At 37.6% G+C, this 13,069-nt stretch overlaps 1 annotated feature.

The window, feature by feature from the left end:
- Nucleotides 11,633–12,244: an enhancer, noted in NCBI's record as "H3K27ac-H3K4me1 hESC enhancer chr8:116765634-116766245 (GRCh37/hg19 assembly coordinates)". NCBI's record gives its function as "activates a minimal SCP1, AML or CMV promoter by ChIP-STARR-seq in naive H9 embryonic stem cells {active_cell/tissue: H9 hESC(naive)}" and the evidence as "EXISTENCE:reporter gene assay evidence [ECO:0000049][PMID:30033119]".

A 13,069-nucleotide genomic window follows, 5' to 3' on the forward strand; every position in this document is an offset into this window, starting at 1 on the left:
TTAAGAGATGAAGGAATTGAACATCAGAGAGGTTTTGCAACTGCTCAAAATCATACACAGATCAAAGTCTTGGGTCTGGGCCAAGCTTGACTCCAAATCTTACGCTGGAACCACAATGCTGGCTTTAAATATAGATAGCACCAATCAACTGTGTAGGACATTCATTGCCCCAAACCCAGACCAATGCCAGGTACTATGTCAATACTTCAAAATGTTGTGTCTGTTTGAATCAATTATTTCAAGATAACATATTTTCATTGTGCAGAATCAGGTTATCAAGTTTCAGGGAACAAAATAAATAATGAAACCCAGAGACACCAAATGTTTTGGTTTTTCAATGCTAGTGGATTACGTTGGTTGTCCACAATTAGAGAGGTTTCAAATATTAATATAGAAAATGTGAAATGATTCCTCGCTCTTTCTAAAACTCCTCTCAGGCTTCTGCTTCTAGTTTAGTGGTTAAGGGTATAAGTCTGCAAGCTAGATAGATATGGTTGCACCCAGCTTTGCTCCTCTTTCTAGGTGACTAAGGGAGAATCTTTTTTACTTCTCCACATCTCAGTTTCTTCTTCTGTAGAATGGGATTAATACAATTTACTTTAGAGCACTGATGTGAGAAGGAAATGTAAAGATGTATAGAAAGTACTTTATACAGTGCCTGGCACAGAATTAATACTCAATAAATGGTAGTGATTATTAGTCATTTTGGGCAAACGGCATTGTTCCTATGAGGAAAGAACTGTTCAAAGGGAACGATGAAATCAGAGTGGATTTCCTGTTCTCTGCCTTTTAAGCTTTTCATCAAAGGCAACACAATGCAGCAGAGGCTCTGAGAACAAGCTCAAGATTGAAGCCTCCTTCTCTGATTAATGCAGTGCTTTCAGCACGAGCAAATAATGTGAAGAAGGTTAAATTCATGCATGGTTTAACTTGAACCAAAGTGGTCAAGGATCGTCACAGGCTCTGTGGAACTGAATAATTCCGGCAAGGATTGGTTAACCCCGGAACGTAGCCAAAAACAAATTTAGAGACAAAGTGTCATGAAGAAAATGGTAAAGTTTTGGCATTATGATGCCACCAGTAGCATATAAACTCATCTGATAATTCAGCTTACTTATTTAGGAATGATGACTTATACATTTAACAATTTTCTTTTCACCTCTGGAAAATCATCAGCCTAGCAATAGAATAAGTTATTCCCTCCCTGCCTATATATATATATATATATATATATATATATATATATATATATATATATATAGTGCAGGAGAGCAGGTCCCAAAAATGCCCATGTGTATATATCTATAGATATGTATAGATATATAGACAGGGGATCAGAGATAAGGGTAATGAGAGGGATAGTTCTGTATACAAATATGTGATAATATCATATATTCTTGTATCACCTTAGAAATCAGTAAGTGCATTAAAATACATTATCTTACTATATTATCACAGATCAAGGGAAGAAAATGAGGCCAATAGAGGTTACAGACTTGTTCAAGGGTACACATCAAACCTAGTGAAAAAAACCTCCATTAAAAGCCTGACCTTGAACTTAGGTTCAGCTAATTTTGCATCATATTACAGTGCCTGAGCAGTGACTCTTACTAACTTTTATGTAGTGCTTCACACACTATAAGCCATTCTGTGTACATATTCCAACCTAATTCTCACATTATTATAGAAGCAGAGTAAGTCTTTTCCTCACTTTAAGGACCAGGAAATAACATCAGATTGAAAGGCAAAGATTTGCACTTTATGGCTTTAAATACCACGCATTTACTAATTCAGCATATATCACTGAATACCTCTTACATAGCAGGAACTTCTCTAGATAATGAAAGTAGGTGGGGAATATGACAAATTCTTTGCCTTATGGAGCTCAGATGCTAGTCGGAGAGATGAACAATAAGCAAATTAACCAATAAAAATATTAGTTAATGTCAGACAAGGTAAGTAGCATCAAGACAAAGAAAAGGGCATGATGGGTACAGAGAAGGGGTTATTTTTGGTAGAGTGAAAGTAAGGCTTTTTAAAGCTGAAACATTTGAATAGAGACCTGAATGAAGTGACCAGCAAGCCAGAAGAACAAGCGAGGCTTTCCAGGAAAGGGAAAGTCAAGGTCAAAGGCACTCCAGCTTGGTGTGCTGGAGAAACCACAAGATGACCAGGCAAGAGAAGGCTTTGTCTGAATACGAGGTGATGAGTTTGGAGTGATAGGCAAAGCATTGGAACAGGTAGGGCTTTGTCATAGTGCATCATGACTTTTTTAAAACAGATCTCACTGGGTTGGAAAAAAATAACTCAAGCATGATGGTCATAAGCCCTTGCACATTTCCTTTTACTATCAATTCATTTATCTTTCTGTCCTTGACATAATTCTTCCAAGCCACTTCCACTTTTACCAGCTTCTCGCATATCATTGAGGGCCAGCTGAGCAGTGATTTCAGTATCATGACTATTTTAATGTTGTGTGTAGCCATCTCATAAGCAGGAGGTCATGTCTCTTGTATTTTGACTTTGTAGTTACTTGTCATGAGCAAATAGTTTTAAAGAACTGGGGGACCTGAATTTAGTATCCCCAAAGTTCTTCCAAGCTAAGTGTATAACACAAAACAAAGTAGAATCTATGAAAATAAAGACATTTAACAGTGCCAGAGGAAAAGCACTCCCGTAGTATAACTGCAGTTATACTATGCATTTATATAGATTCATTGGAAATCAAGTTTTCAAGAGAAATTGCTGGTGATATCAACTTGATTATTTTGCCAACATGGAGAAGCCAGACAAGAAACTGAGAATCAAGGTTATATAATGGGACCATCAATTTATCTTGTAAATTTTTAACTGTTACGTATTAACTATTACATGTTAACAGTTTAACCTCTTATGTATTTCTTTTAAGCTTTGTTTTATCTCCAGCATTTGTATAGCAAATGTCAAAGTAGCAAAGGCTCTCTCTATTAGCTAGCTCTGATTAAAACACAACTACTAACAAGGAGTGTATTGGGTAATGTCAAATAAATGTCTTAGTGTCTTTACCATATAATTAGTGAGTTTCTAACCTAACTTATTAAGAAGCCAGCTATGAGTCCAGCTGCATAGATAAGGAGCAACTATGTGACAATGCTATTTGATATGAGGTGGAACAGTCCCAAAAGATACAGCTGCAGGAATGGAGGCGACTATTTTTACAAACGAGTCAACATGTAAAAAATTACAGGAAGATTTGTATTTAACAGGCAGCATGGCTTCCTATATTATTTTAAAGGTTTGCTCTGAATATGGGAAGTGCTGGTCCATTTAAAGTTTCAGGATGACTATATGGCCCTTTATATTTGCAAAAGATTTCTTCAGAGGGACTTCAAATCTTGAAATCAAAAGGTGCCTAGCATCCTGTAATTTCCTCTTAAAGGGTAGTAAGTGGTCATTTTAAGTGATGCTTTCAGGGTTGGTTAGAGTGTTTCTGAAAGGCAGTCACCAGCCACCTGATGCCTTAGCCAGGGCTCCTCTCCCTTTTCCTTCAGTCCTTCTGGCTGATTGACTCAGCACCATGCTGCATCTTTCTAAGCATCTAACCACGGACTCACTCAGGATCATGGGATCTCAGTTCCTGTGGGGGCCTCTTATCACCATCCCCCTGCAAGGAAACCAGTATCCGTGACTGTATGTGAAATGCAAGAGGGACACACACTGCTTGGTCCTTTTTCTCCCCTTTCCTCTGCTCCTACTACATCCATAATTCAACCGCACCAGCTTAGGCACACCATGCCAGCAGCAGCCAAGTACATTTAAATTAAAAGTATTCATAGATATATATATACATAAATATGTGTGTGTGTGTATGAATATATATTGTATGATTTTAAGTGAACAGATAAACTATGTATTTATTGTGAATCAGAGCATATTTTGAAATATATATACATTGTAGAATGTTTAAATCTAGCTAATTAAAATATGCATTACCTGACATAGTTATTTTTGTGGTGAGAACAGTTAATATCCACTCTCTAAGCATTTTTTTCAGAATACAAGATATCATCATTAACTATAGTCACCATGCTGTGCAACAGATCTCTTGAACTTATTTGTTCTATCTAACTGTAATTTTAAAAAGACAAAAGATGAGAAATGCTGGCAAAAATGTGGATAAAAGGGAGCCCTTGCAAACTGTTGGTGGGAACATAAATTAGTATGGCCATTATGGAAAACGGATGGAGTTTTCCCCAAAAATTAAAAATAGAATTATCATATGATCTAGCAATTCTGCTATTGGGTATATATCTGAAGGAAATGAAATCAGTATGTTGAAGAGACATCTGCACACTCAATGATTATTACAGCACTATTCACGAAGCCAAGCTATGGAATCAACCTAAATGTCAATGAATGAATGGATAAAGAAAATTTGGTGTAGATACATAGTGAAATACTATTCAGCCATAAAAAAGAAGGAAATCCTGTCATTTGAAACAACATGGATGAACTCAGAGGATATTATGTGAAGTGAAACAAAATATCAGGCACAGAAAGACAAATACCATATTATCTCAGTCACATGGAATCTATAAAAGTGGATCTCCTAAAAATATAGAGTATAATGGTGGTTACCAGAGGCTGGGGCAGTTGGAAGGTGAGGTGAGAAGATGTCGGCCAAAGGATACAAAATGACAACTGCACTTTTAAAAACATCCCTGGTAATCTGTTTCGCCAAGGATAATGTGGATTCAAGTGTGTGTTTAAACAGAATTAGAAACATGTTTATCATAAGAACCTCATAGATCAGTTGCAAATACCTAAATTATTGGAGGTCAAAGAGCTACTAGCTTTGGGTTTTCAGAACTCTTTCATGTACAAAACTTCCTTCTATTTCAAAAGACCCCTGCCAGGCAGGTGTAAAAGGCATTTACAATGGAGAATAACATTCTTCTATTTCATAAGTAAGGTAACTAACTTTCAGAGATGGACCCCCAGCTCCAACTCCAACCAAAAAGCAAATACTTTTATCTTGATTTAAGCCTGCTTCCCTCCTGCTATATTAATTTGAATAAAACTATTTGGTGACCATTTATAAAAGAGATGAGTCATAGGATAGAAAAAAATGTGGCTCTCCCATGTTTATTGAAGCTCTATTCACAAAAGCAAAGGTATTAAATAAGCCTAAATGTCCATCAACAGATGAATGAATAAAGAAAATGTGATATATACGCACAGTGGAATATTATTTAGCCTTAAAAAAATGGAATCTTGTCATTTGTGGCAACATGGATGAGTCTGGAGGACATTCTGTTAAGTGAAATAAGTCAGGCACAGAAAAAAAAATAGTGCATGTCCTCACTCAGATGCGGGAGGTAAAAAAATTGAACTCATAGAATTAGAGTAGAATGGGTGTTATTAGCGTCTGGGAATGGTCAAGATGGGGAAGAGAGGATAAGAAGAGGTTTGTTAATGGATACAAAATTAAAGCTAGATGGGATAAATAAGTTCTAGAGTTTTGTAGCATTGTAGGGTGAATATAGTTAACAGTAATTTAGCATATTTTTCAAAAAACTAGAAGAGAGAATTTTAAACATTTATAACACAAAGACATAATAAATATTTGAGGGGATAGATATGCTAACTACTCTGATTTGATCCTTATACATGTTGTACACATGTATCAGAAATTCACACTGTATCCCAGAAATATGTACAGTTGTTATATGTCAACTAAAAATAAATGATTCCGAAGATCATATGAGGCAGAAACAAATTTTTAAATAATAAATGAAAAAAGTCTCAATAAAATGGTAATAATGACCAAGGTTTGTTGAGCACTTACTACACATTTTGAAGTTTCCATGGACTTTACACTGGACCTTAGTTTTGGTGTATGATCATCAAGGTTCTTAAATAGCATGAGAAGTTACGATAAACACTTGACAAGTATAAGAAATATGTGAACATATTACTGAATTTGAATATATTTGAAAGGATTAAAAAATATTATTTAACACAACATATAACTCTTACATTTTTCTCTAAATATTAATGGAAGTTGTTTTGATAGCTACTTATTGCTTTTATTGAGTGATCAATTCACCAGTTATCAAGATTTAGAAATTATTATTATTATAATCATTTAAAATTTTTGGTCACATGCATTTTATAGATACAAATTTGACCCAGATGTTTGTCATTTTGATCCCATTTATTGATCCAAACAAAAAATTCAATTAAGCCAGAGAACCACCTCAAGGTTGGCTTCCTATTAATTTTTGTGTTGAATTTCTTCCCAGTTTTTACCCATCCAAATTACATGAGATCTGAGCAGCTAGAATAGGACACAAATGAGAAAAATAGAAATGACATCAAATTAAAGAAAGGTTGAGAAGAATAACCACTAATGCTATAAAAGGTAAGTTTGGAGGGAGAATAACATGATGGGTAAATGCTTGTAGCTAGAGAGCCAAAATATACATTCTCCTTCTTCCTGGGCACACAGCTTTCCCATGTTTCCCAGCCTTCCTTGCAGCCAGATGTGGCCACCTGACTGAAATCATGCCAGTGAAATTTGGGCAGAAGTTACGAGTGCCACCATGTTCTTTCTCCATCCTGAAGACTATAATGGAGAAGATCATGCCGATCTTGGAAGAAAGGCATGAGTTGAAAATGGCAGAGTCAGCCTTAGCCTAGTTTTCTCAATGATTCTGCATGGAGCAGAGTCATTGCTGACGTAAAGCCTCTGTCTCAGCCTGTTTCATAAGAAAAATAAACTTCTGCTTTACAACATTACTGATTTGGGGGAGTTTAATGGCGTAGTTTAATGTAGCTTAGCCTACTCTGATACATATAGTTTATGTTGTTAATTCAGGGAAAATCAACATAAAAGGCATGGGATACAGATAGAGTATTAGAAAGCAGAATATGGAAGCATACTTCCCAATAAAATACAGAATACAGAAAAATACTACATGAGTTTAAATGCTTTAGTCATATTTGAGGAAAAGTCTAATACATTTGAATTAAAATATATGGTGCAGGGCCAGGCATGGTGGTGGGTGCCTGTTATCCCAGCTACTCGGGAGGCTGAGGCAGGAGAATCACTTGAACCTGGGAGGCAGAGGTTGCAGTGAGCCGAGATGGTGCCATTGCACTCCAGCCTGGGCGACAAGAGCGAAACTCTGTCTCAAAAGAAAAAAAATTATATATATATATGTGTGTGTGTTTGTGTATAATGGTTTTACATATATTATGGTTATATATATATATATTATATATATATATATAAAATATATATAGTACAATAAAGACACATGTTCTGGACCTATTCTCTGGACTGCTATATTTCACAGACATGGTCAAATAAATGTACTAGTATCTTGGAAACTGCCAGTGATTGCTGAAAAGGCAATAACAACATTTTGGGAGGGAAATGTAGGAGCGTCACATTTTGCTAAATCTAAGAATTAGTTAATCTTCAATTTAACCAACAGCTCCATCTAGTCTATTGAGAAAGACTAACTTTGTTCTTATTCCTCCCTCCAAGGTAATAAACTGCCTTTTCTTTCAAGCTAGGGAATCCTAAATTGTATCCAGTGGCCTCATATTCCTTCAATTTTTCAATAGCTACTTTAAAAAAATGTCGTTTAGGGTTTGCTGTTGTAGGCCCACATGATTTAAAAACAAATTCAATAAATACTTTTAGACACTTTTGGAAATAATCCTCTTAACTTTATATTTAGTTTTAGATATTTTTATCTTTCATTGTGACTAATTCTTTGGTTTTACAGGCATGGCTTCTCTACCTAATGCATATAAATAATGTGCTGAATTGACGCTTAGAAAATTCAGTCCTAATAATGCATATGAACACATAACCCATCTTTAAGAAGAGGGTCACTAATATTAGCCAGATTTTTGAGGCATGTTTCACATCTTCACTCAATATGTGTTTCAAAGGTGATGAAGTTAGGAAGAAATATAATTTCTTTAATAATAGATCAAAACAAGTAAAGTGTTAAAATAAAAAGCCTAAAATGTGGGATTTCTTTTGGGAATTATTACAATATCAGTTAGATAAAACATGTTTGGACATTTCTAAAGATAAAGTGAAAAACATCTCTTAATTCACTGGAGGGAAGAGAAATCCCAACATAGTGATACAGGTACCAAAACAGAAGAATCAACTGCTTAGCAACTGAAGCCATGGAAGCAGTTGATTGGGAATATGCACAATCGACATTAAGTCCTGCCACTCAGATAGTAAATCACCTGCCCTTAAGAACAGAAGAGATTCCCACTGGATGTGTCCCCGCCTTGTAAAAAAATTATGAAAGCTCACCATTTCTTCCCTCTGTAAACATACACAAGACAAAACATTGGAAAAACATGTACGTGGAGAAAAAGAATCAAATTTCATAAAACACATAGACACATCTGCATAAACTTCAGAATGAATTGCTATTTCATTCTGCAATTTTCAAGGGCTCACAAACTAAGATGCTGAAGAAAAGTGGAGGTGCTGACTTCTGCAAAGGGCATCAAATCAAAATCAGATTGTAAACTCAAAATGAAAATTAGATTGTAAAATTCAGTTTGGAGACAAGAAATAAAGAATTTTAAATGACGGCACAGGTGAAAAACAAAAGTATTGGAAGGAAAATATCAATGTGATACATTTTTAAATATGCTAGTCAGGAGGACCCATACGAAAGGCTCTCAACATGATTGTTCTTTGTTTCTATATGTTTCAGTAACTGGTACTGATGAAGCACAATCAAATTCCAAAAAAATGGGATATAAGAGGAATTGTATTTATATGTCCAGTTTAGCATTAGCTGTAATCAGCGAAACATTGATAATGAGATTAAAAGGATCTTAGACAGAAGATCTAAACTGTTCTTGATTAATAACAAGTAAAATGAAGCCCAAAAACTGCCTTGTCTAAGGTGACCACAACCAGTTCTGGCAGAACTGACTGAAAATTCACCCTTAGTCCAGTCCTCTTTCCTCTATATCTCATCTGTATTCCTTGAGGCCACCTCTAATAGTAGATCAAGGAATTTTAAAATATTTGTATTTTTCTATTGCTCATGATATTGTCATTTTAGTAATATAATAATAATAATGGCCACTATGAGTTTTTGAGCATCTACCATATAATCTGATAAAGATATAACTACTCCAGTTTATTATGTAATTTTGTTATAATCTCATTTTGCAGATGGGAAAACTATGGCTCAGAAAATTAAATAACTTGTGCAATGGCATATAGCAGAGCTGGAATTGAGATAGAACTATATCTGAATCTAAACTCTATATTCTTTATACTATGCATCAGTGCCTCTTCTGATATTTTTATGTTTTTTGGGGGGACATATCAAGAAATCCAAAGCAGAACTGATGATTGAAAGCTTGGCTAATCCCTCCAGAATCTGCTGTGCAGCCATCCAAACATCATCAAAAACTGATTTTTCTAATCTAGATTATTTGAGATCCTGCTTCTAAAATGGCCATCCCAACGAGAAACATTCGCAGCTTCACATAGAAAGAATAAATAAATTTATTTTTTAAAATCATGATAAAACAGTAGTCACCGAGAGAAAGACTGGTGAAAATTTTATGATCTGGTAAAAAATCTCTGCAGGCTGATGATTATACTATCCTAGCTGACATAGATTATGTCAGCCTTGCAGATGGTGTTTAAAAAAATAACCCTATGTGTATATGAGATCAAAACACCAAGATTGAATTTAACCCAGATGCTTGGCACTATGTAGACAAAACCTATGTCATATCTTCCATTTACTGTTGGGAGGCAGCAGAAGAAGGGTGTGACTACCCACAGTTGTTAACGGAATAATATTTCCAAGAAAGCTTGCATTAATGTTTTAGCTTTTTTTCCCTCCCTCCTCTGTTTAAATTCCTAAAATGCATCAGACCTCATGAGTTTCAGGCAGACATACTCCGTTAGGAGTTGAAGGAAGATTTGCACATTTCCTCTCTGACATGTGGACAAGCAGACGCTCAATTGCAGGGCTTCGACTGCTGACTGGCTTTCTTTGTCTTCATTCACACATACATCCTGGCCAAATTCCCACTGAAAATGCCACTGCAGAGCCTGAAAAGTTTTTGGAATGACTCTCATGGCTTTCCATCTCCTCGACAGAAAGAGAAAACTTAGTCCTACTTCAAAAAAGAAGAAAAGAAAGAAAGAAAGAAAGAAAGAAAGATTGAAGACAGGCTTCATGATCAGCACAAACATCATGAAAGCACTTAGAGATAATGGGTTAAGTGTAACTGAATCAGAAACATACCGATTTGGCAGTAATCTCATTCATAAAATGTTGGAGTGCTTGTAGGTGATGCCAAGTTAAACAGGATGATGGACTCTACACAATACATGTTTGCAACACGAATGGGTCCTCGGTTCAAGGCCACCCACTTCCAGGTGGCAGGAAGCGGGGGCAGCTGCCCCATCTCTGGAGGGTCAGATAGATTTCCTGCTCACACAGACAGATATCCTAGGCCATGAAAGAGAGATAGAGTCCTTGTTCTTGGTGTTACATGATCCATGATGGAAGAAATGTTTACCCTTAGACTGTGGCATGGCTTGTAATTAATTTGTGATCCTTGGGGCAAGTGAAGGAATAGGTGTGTAGTAGAAATATTTTACACTTTCCTTAATGACTATGGCCTTAAATAGCTGAATATTGGGAGAAATATTAATGAGGTAAGCAGACATTTCAAAGCCATTTGACATATATGACACCTTCGTCCAGCATCCAGATATTTTGTCTCCTTCCAAGCCACTTTCTGCTTACTTCTTTGTATAGTGTGCTGTTCATGCCGAGACCAGACATCATCAGATGTGATGTGAGGACCCGCTGGCTCAACATGTCTTCATACTGTTGGCATCCATGACTTAGAACACTAGGGAAGACCCAGTGGCACAAGCAGTAGGTAATTGTCTCATAGAGAGAGGATTAGTTGAATGTCTTCTGGTATTTAAGTTACAAAAGATTACATTTGTAGGAAAGGACTTTTCATAGTGTGATTTTGATTATGAGTAATTATAAAAGAATAATAAATATAATATCGAATACCAATTAGTTAATTCTGATTGAATCAGTAATACTAATAGTTACCATTATGTCTCAGGCATTCTCCTAAGTACTTCACACTTATTAACTTGTTTAGTCTTCACAAAAACCCATACTCATTTAGAGATAAGGAAATTAAGACACAGAGAGATTAGGTTACCTGTCCAAGTTCACTCCAGCAGGAAAGTAGTAAAGGCATACTTCAAGTCTAGTCAGTCTGGCCCAAGAGTGTGCAAAATTTTCTGTTTATAGCTTAGTATTCAGCACTGAGCTAGATACAGATGAAAAACTAGGATGGAGGAGGAGCCAAGATGGCCAAACAGGAACAGCTCTGGTCTACAGCTCCCAGCGTGAGCGACGTAGAAGACGGGTGATTTCTGCATTTCCATCTGAGGTACCGGGTTCATCTCACTAGGGAGTGCCAGACAGTGGGCGCAGGTCAGTGGGTGCGCGCACCGTGCGCGAGCCGAAGCAGGGCGAGGCATTGCCTCACTTGGGAAGCGCAAGGGGTCAGGGAGTTCCCTTTCCGAGTCAAAGAAAGGGGTGACGGACAGCACCTGGAAAATCGGGTCACTCCCACCCGAATACTGCGTTTTTCCGACGGGCTTAAAAAATGGCGCACCACAAGATTATATCCCGCACCTGGCTCAGAGGGTCCTACGCCCACGGAGTCTTGCTGATTGCTAGCACAGCAGTCTGAGATCAAACTGCAAGGTGGCAGCAAGGCTGGGGGAGGGGTGCCCACCATTGCCCAGGCTTGATTAGGTAAACAAAGCAGCCAGGAAGCTGGAACTGGGTGGAGCCCACCACAGCTCAAGGAGGCCTGCCTGCCTCTGTAGGCTCCACCTCTGGGGGCAGGGCACAGACAAACAAAAAGACAGCAGTAACTTCTGCAGACTTAAATGTCCCTGTCTGACAGCTTTGAAGAGAGCAGTGGTTCTCCCAGCACGCAGATGGAGATCTGAGAACGGGCAGACTGCCTCCTCAAGTGGGTCCCTGACCCCTGACCCCCGAGCAGCCTAACTGGGAGGCACCCCAGCAGGGGCACACTGACACCTCACACGGCAGGGTATTCCAACAGACCTGCAGCTGAGGGTCCTGTCTGTTAGAAGGAAAACTAACAAACAGAAAGGACATCCACACCAAAAACCCATCTGTACATCACCATCATCAAAGACCAAAAGTAGATAAAACCACAAAGATGGGGAAAAAACAGAACAGAAAAACTGGAAACTCTAAAAAGCAGAGCGCCTCTCCTCCTCCGAAGGAACGCAGTTCCTCACCAGCAAGGGAACAAGCTGGATGGAGAATGACTTTGATGAGCTGAGAGAAGAAGTCTTCAGACGATCAAATTACTCTGAGCTACGGGAGGACATTCAAACCAAAGGCAAAGAAGTTGAAAACTTTGAAAAAAATTTAGAAGAATGTATAACTAGAATAACCAATACAGAGAAGTGCTTAAAGGAGCTGATGGAGCTGAAAACCAAGGCTCGAGAACTACGTGAAGAATGTAGAAGCCTCAGGAGCCAATGCGATCAACTGGAAGAAAGGGTATCAGCAATGGAAGATGAAATGAATGAAATGAAGTGAGAAGGGAAATTTAGAGAAAAAAGAATAAAAAGAAACGAGCAAAGCCTCCAAGAAATATGGGACTATGTGAAAAGACCAAATCTACGTCTGATTGGTGTACCTGAAAGTGATGGGGAGAATGGAACAAGTTGGAAAACACGCTGCAGGATATTATCCAGGAGAACTTCCCCAATCTAGCAAGGCAGGCCAACGTTCAGATTCAGGAAATACAGAGATACTCCTCGAGAAGAGCAACTCCAAGACACATAATTGTCAGATTCACCAAAGTTGAAATGAAGGAAAAAATTTAAGGGCAGCCAGAGAGAAAGGTTGGGTTACCCTCAAGGGGAAGCCCATCAGACTAACAGTGGATCTCTCGGCAGAAACCCTACAAGCCAGAAAAGATGGGG

This window comes from Homo sapiens, chromosome 8 (genome assembly GCF_000001405.40).
Source record: "Homo sapiens chromosome 8, GRCh38.p14 Primary Assembly".
Classification (NCBI taxonomy): Eukaryota; Metazoa; Chordata; class Mammalia; order Primates; family Hominidae; genus Homo; species Homo sapiens.